This window comes from Homo sapiens, chromosome 8 (assembly GCF_000001405.40).
Source record: "Homo sapiens chromosome 8, GRCh38.p14 Primary Assembly".
Lineage (NCBI taxonomy): Eukaryota > Metazoa > Chordata > Mammalia > Primates > Hominidae > Homo > Homo sapiens.
This window is the reverse complement of record NC_000008.11, coordinates 74,864,125-74,870,774: the sequence shown is the minus strand read 5'-3', so window position 1 is coordinate 74,870,774 and position 6,650 is coordinate 74,864,125.

The following is a 6,650-nucleotide window of genomic DNA, read 5'->3' as shown; positions in this document are numbered from 1 at the left end:
TTCACTCATGATTTGGCTCTCTGTTTGTCTGTTGTTGGTGTATAAGAATGCTTGTGATTTTTTACATTGATTTTGTATCCTGAGACTTTGCTGAAGTTGCTTATCAGCTTAAGGAGATTTTGGGCTGAGACAATGGGGATTTCTAGATATACAATCATGTCATCTGCAAACAGGGACAATTTGACTTCCTCTTTTCCTAATTGAATACCCTTTATTTCCTTCTCCTGCCTAATTGCCCTGGCCAGAACTTCCAACACTATGTTGAATAGGAGTGGTGAGAGAGGGCATCCCTGTCTTGTGCCAGTTTTCAAAGGGAATGCTTCCAGTTTTTGCCCATTCAGTATGATATTGGCTGTGGGTTTATCATAGATAGCTCTTATTATTTTGAAATATGTCCCATCAATACCTAATTTATTGAGAGTTTTTAGCACGAAGTGTTGTTGAATTTTGTCAAAGGCTTTTTCTGCATCTATTGAGATAATCATGTGGTTTTTGTCTTTGACTCTGTTTATATGCTGGATTACATTTATTGATTTGCATATATTGAACCAGCCTTGCATCCCAGGGATGAAGCCCACTTGATCATGGTGGATAAGCTTTTTGATGTGCTGCTGGATTCGTTTTGCCAGTATTTTATTGAGGATTTTTGCATCAATGTTCATCAAGGATATTGGTCTAAAATTCTCTTTTTTGGTTGTGTCTCTGCCCGGCTTTGGTATCAGAATGATGCTGGCCTCATAAAATGAGTTAGGGAGGATTCCCTCTTTTTCTATTGATTGGAATAGTTTCAGAAGGAATGGTACCAGTTCCTCCTTGTACCTCTGCTAGAATTCGGCTGTGAATCCATCTGGTCCTGGACTCTTTTTGGTTGGTAAGCTATTGATTATTGCCACAATTTCAGATCCTGTTATTGGTCTATTCAGAGATTCAATTTCTTCCTGGTTTAGTCTTGGGAGAGTGTATGTGTCAAGGAATTTATCCATTTCTTGTAGATTTTCTAGTTTATTTGCGTGGAGGTGTTTGTAGTATTCTCTGATGGTAGTTTGTATTTCTGTGGGATCGGTGGTGATATCCCCTTTATCATTTTTTATTGTGTCTATTTGATTCTTCTCTCTTTTTTTCTTTATTAGTCTTGCTAGCGGTCTATCAATTTTGTTGATCCTTTCAAAAAACCAGCTCCTGGATTCATTAGTTTTTTGAAGGGTTTTTTGTGTGTCTATTTCCTTCAGTTCTGCTCTGATTTTAGTTATTTCTTGCCTTCTGCTAGCTTTTGAATGTGTTTGCTCTTGCTTTTCTAGTTCTTTTAATTGTGATGTTAGAGTGTCAATTTTGGATCTTTCCTGCTTTCTCTTGTGGGTATTTAGTGCTATAAATTTCCCTCTACACACTGCTTTGAATGTGTCCCAGAGATTCTGGTATGTTATGTCTTTGTTCTCATTGGTTTCAAAGAACATCTTTATTTCTGCCTTCATTTCGTTATGTACCCAGTAGTCATTCAGGAGCAGGTTGTTCAGTTTCCATGAAGTTGAGCGGTGTTGAGTGAGATTCTTAATCCTGAGTTCTAGTTTGATTGCACTGTGGTCTGAGAGATAGTTTGTTATCATCTCTGTGCTTTTACATTTGCTGAGGAGAGCTTTACTTCCAACTATGTGGTCAATTTTGGAATAGGTGTGGTGTGGTGCTGAAGAAAATGTATATTCTGTTGATTTGGGGTGGAGAGTTCTGTAGATGTCTATTAGGTCTGCTTGGTGCAGAGCTGAGTTCAATTCCTGGGTATCCTTGTTGACTTTCTGTCTCGTTGATCTGTCTAATGTTGACAGTGGGGTGTTAAAGTCTCCCATTATTAATGTGTGGGAGTCTAAGTCTCTTTGTAGGTCACTCAGGACTTGCTTTATGAATCTGGGTGCTCCTGTATTGGGTGCATATATATTTAGGATAGTTAGCTCTTCTTGTTGAATTGATCCCTTTACCATTATATAATGGCCTTCTTTGTCTCTTTCGATCTTTGTTGGTTTAAAGTCTGTTTTATCAGAGACTAGGATTGCAACCCCTGCCTTTTTTTGTTTTCCATTTGCTTGGTAGATCTTCCTCCATCCTTTTATTTTGAGTCTATGTGTGTCTCTGCACGTGAGATGGGTTTCCTGAATACAGCACACTGATGGGTCTTGACTCTTTATCCAGTTTGCCAGTCTGTGTCTTTTAATTGGAGCATTTAGTCCATTTACATTTAAAGTTAATATTGTTATGTGTGAATTTGATCCTGTCATTATGATATTAGCTGGTGATTTTCTCGTTAGTTGATGCAGTTTCTTCCTAGTCTCGATGGTCTTTACATCTTGGCATGATTTTGCAGCGGCTGGTACTGGTTGTTCCTTTCCATGTTTAGCGCTTCCTTCAGGAGCTCTTTTAGGGCAGGCCTGGTGGTGACAAAATCTCTCAGCATTTGCTTGTCTGTAAAGTATTTTATTTCTCCTTCGCTTGTGAAGCTTAGTTTGACTGGATATGAAATTCTGGCTTGAAAATTCTTTTCTTTAAGAATGTTGAATATTGGCCCCCACTCTCTTCTGGCTTGTAGGGTTTCTGCCAAGATATCCGCTGTTAGTCTGATGGGCTTCCCTTTGAGGGTAACCCGACCTTTCTCTCTGGCTGCCCTTAACATTTTTTCCTTCATTTCAACTTTGGTGAATCTGACAATTATGTGTCTTGGAGTTGCTCTTCTTGAGGAGTATCTTTGTGGCATTCTCTGTATTTCCTGAATCTGAACGTTGGCCTGCCTTGCTAGATTGGAGAAGTTCTCCTGGATAATATCCTGCAGAGTGTTTTCCAACTTGGTTCCATTCTCCCCATCACTTTCAGGTACACCAATCAGACGTAGATTTGGTCTTTTCACATAGTCCCATATTTCTTGGAGGCTTTGCTCATTTCTTTTTATTCTTTTTTCTCTAAACTTCCCTTCTCGCTTCATTTCATTCATTTCATCTTCCATTGCTGATACCCTTTCTTCCAGTTGTTCACATCGGCTCCTGAGGCTTCTGCATTCTTCACGTAGTTCTCGAGCCTTGGTTTTCAGCTCCATCAGCTGCTCCTTTAAGCACTTCTCTGTATTGGTTATTCTAGTTATACATTCTTCTAAATTTTTTTCAAAGTTTTCAACTTCTTTGCCTTTGGTTTCAATGTCCTCCCGTAGCTCAGAGTAATTTGATCGTCTGAAGCCTTCTTCTCTCAGCTCGTCAAAGTCATTCTCCATCCACCTTTGTTCCGTTGCTGGTGAGGAACTGCGTTCCTTTGGAGGAGGAGAGGCGCTCTGCTTTTTAGAGTTTCCAGTTTTTCTGTTCTGTTTTTTCCCCATCTTTATGGTTTTATCTACTTTTGGTCTTTGATGATGGTGATGTACAGATGGGTTTTTGGTGTGGATGTCCTTTCTGTTTGTTAGTTTTCCTTCTAACAGACAGGACCCTCAGCTGCAGGTCTGTTGGAATACCCTGCCATGTGAGATGTCAGTGTGCCCCTGCTGGGGGGTGCCTCCCAGTTAGGCTGCTCGGGGGTCAGGGGTCAGGGACTCACTTGAGGAGGCAGTCTGCCCGTTCTCAGATCTCCAGCTGCGTGCTGGGAGAACCACTGCTCTCTTCAAAGCTGTCAGACAGGGACATTTAAGTCTGCAGAGGTTACTGCTGTCTTTTCGTTTGTCTGTGCCCTGCCCCCAGAGGTGGAGTCTACAGAGGCGGGCAGGCCTCCTTGAGCTGTGGTGGGCTCCACCCAGTTGGAGCTTCCCAGCTGCTTTGTTTACCTAAGCAAGCCTGGGCAATGGCGGGCGCCCCTCCCCCAGCCTCGCTGCCGCCTTGCAGTTTGATCTCAGACTGCTGTGCTAGCAATCAGCGAGACTCCGTGGGCGTAGGACCCTCCGAGCCAGGTGCGTGATATACTCTCGTGGTTTGCCGTTTTTTAAGCCGGTCGGAAAAGCGCAGTATTCGGGTGGGAGTGAGCCGATTTTCCGGGTGCGTCCGTCACCCCTTTCTTTGACTCGGAAAGGGAACTCCCTGACCCCTTGCGCTTCCCAAGTGAGGCAATGCCTCACCCTGCTTCGGCTCGCGCACGATGCGCGCACCCACTAACGTGCGCCCACTGTCTGGCACTCCCTAGTGAGATGAACCCGGTACCTCAGATGGAAATGCAGAAATCACCCGTCTTCTGCGTCGCTCACGCTGGGAGCTGTAGACCGGAGCTGTTCCTGTTCGGCCATCTTGGCTCCTCCCTCAGGTAGAGTTTTCTAAAATAACTTTTTAATGTAATTACTGATATACAAGTTGAATTGTATAATCTAGCCATTGGTTCTCTATGTCTCATCTTTGTTTCTTAATTCTTTCTTTTTGACTTCTTTTGAGTAATCCATTTTTCTCATTTTCCTGCTCTATTAGATTTTTATTTTTACATTCTTCTATTATTCCTTCAATAATTGTTCTAGAGATTATATGGTTTCTTAAATTATGACTTAATACAGTTACTGTTCCCTAATCAATGGAAGACACTCTATTTTCCTCCCCACTTTATATTATTGTTCCCATATATATTATTGTATATACATTATAAACCCATAAGACATCATTATTGCTGTCCTTTTAAACAGTTAATACTCATTTATATTCCCTTTATATTCACCTTTCTGGCATTATTTATTTATTCTTATAGTTCACTTTTTTCATCTGGTATCACCTTCCTTGTGTCTGAAGCACACCCATTAGTTTATTCAGGCAATAATTCTCTCAGCTTTTTTCTTTCAATCTGCAAATATGTTATTTCATTTTTATTTTTGAATAATAAGTTCTACAGGTTTGGAATTTCAGTTTGGCGATTTTCTGCTTTTACTACTTTAAGGATATTATTCTTTTGCCTTCCATCATTCAAAGTTTCTATTGAAAATTAACCCTTTGGTCTACTTCTTGCACCATTAATGACAATTGTCCTTTGTTTCAGCTGCTTTAAAAGCTTTCATTCTCTTTGATTTTTAGTAATTTGACTATGATGTGCTCAGGTGCAGTTTTCTTTTAATATGTTGTGCTTAGAGTTTTAAAACTTTAAATATATTGCCAAATGTCTTACATCACTTTGGGAAAAAAAAACTCATGATTATGGAAAACAGGAAAAGGAAGAGAGGATTTGTTTCAGAGATCATCTCGGTCAGAAAGTCTAAGAGTCCATACCTACCCACAAATCCCAGGTCTTCCTAAGGTATACTTGATATTCTCATTTAATATTGCATTATAGGCCAGACATAGTGACTCACGCCTGTAATCCCAGCACTTTTGGGAGTCTGAGGCTGGCGGATCAACAGAGGTCAGGAGTTCGAGACCAGACCGGCCAACATGGTGAAACCCCGTCTCTACTAAAAATACAAAAAATAGCTGGGTGTGGTGGTGCAAGTCTGTAATAGCAGCTACTTGGGAGGCTGAGGCATGAGAATCGCTTGAACTCATGAGGCAGAGGTTGCAGTGAGCTGAGATCACGCCACTGCACTCCAGCCTGGGTGACAGAGGGAGACTCCATCTCAAAAAAAAAATTGCATTACAGTACATTTCATGCTAGAATGTAACTAGCTAGCTTTTCCACTAGAGAAATGAGTAGAATGCAAATAATGTGGACTGTTTTTTAATATGTAAAAATATGTATGCATATGTAAAAATATGCAAGTATATGAAACATATAGAAGGTGATACCATTATACTTTTTATTTAATGTTTTGTTTGTGCATTGTGCTTGTTAAAAAAAAATTAGGAAATAGAACAGATGCTTTGAAATGCCCTAAATAATTTTTATTTACTGGAGGATATTATGAATTATTTAAATTATAAAGTTATATTTTGCCATAAATATTTACTTAACAAGGGGATCAGCTATTCTATTGTAATTGGCATTTAAATTTACACTAAGTAGAAATGATCTTTGAAAATACTTTTTGTTTGTTTGTTTATTTGTTTGTTTTGAGACGGAGTCTTGCTCTGTCACCCAGGCTTCCAGGTTCAAGCGAGTCTCCTGCCTCAGCCTCCTGAGTAGCTGGGATTACAGGCATGTGCCACCATACCTGGCTAACCTTTTGTATTTGTAGTAGAGATTGGGTTTCACCATGTTAGCCTGGCTGGTCTCAAACTCCTGACCTCAGGTGATCCACCCGTCTTGGCCTCCCAAAGCCCTAAAATTACAAGCGTTAGCCACCGCGCCCATCCTGAAAATACTTTTAATTAAAGTAGAGCCCTGAACCATTTTTGAAAAAATTTACAACCCTTATATCAGTTTCTCACTCTTATTTAGTCAGTGTTTCTCTTCAACTTTATTCTCAAATATCTTTGAAAACATCACCACACACTCACTTGTCCACTTGAAGTATGAATTACGTTACTTTGTCAAAGATTGGAAAACTAAAAATCATTCACGTGTTCTCTGCATACGTTTCTTTGACAAACATTTTCTATTTCTTCTATATTTGAGTATGAGTAATGGAAAAAATATATTTAGTATACCTATGATGTAACTAAGTTCCCATAAGTTTGCAACAGAAGTATGCCACTGCAGATAGCTACAAGAGTGGCATCTGTTAGTCACTCATGTACATGCAGGCATATGACTATGGCAGAAATAATATGACAGCTTGACCACAG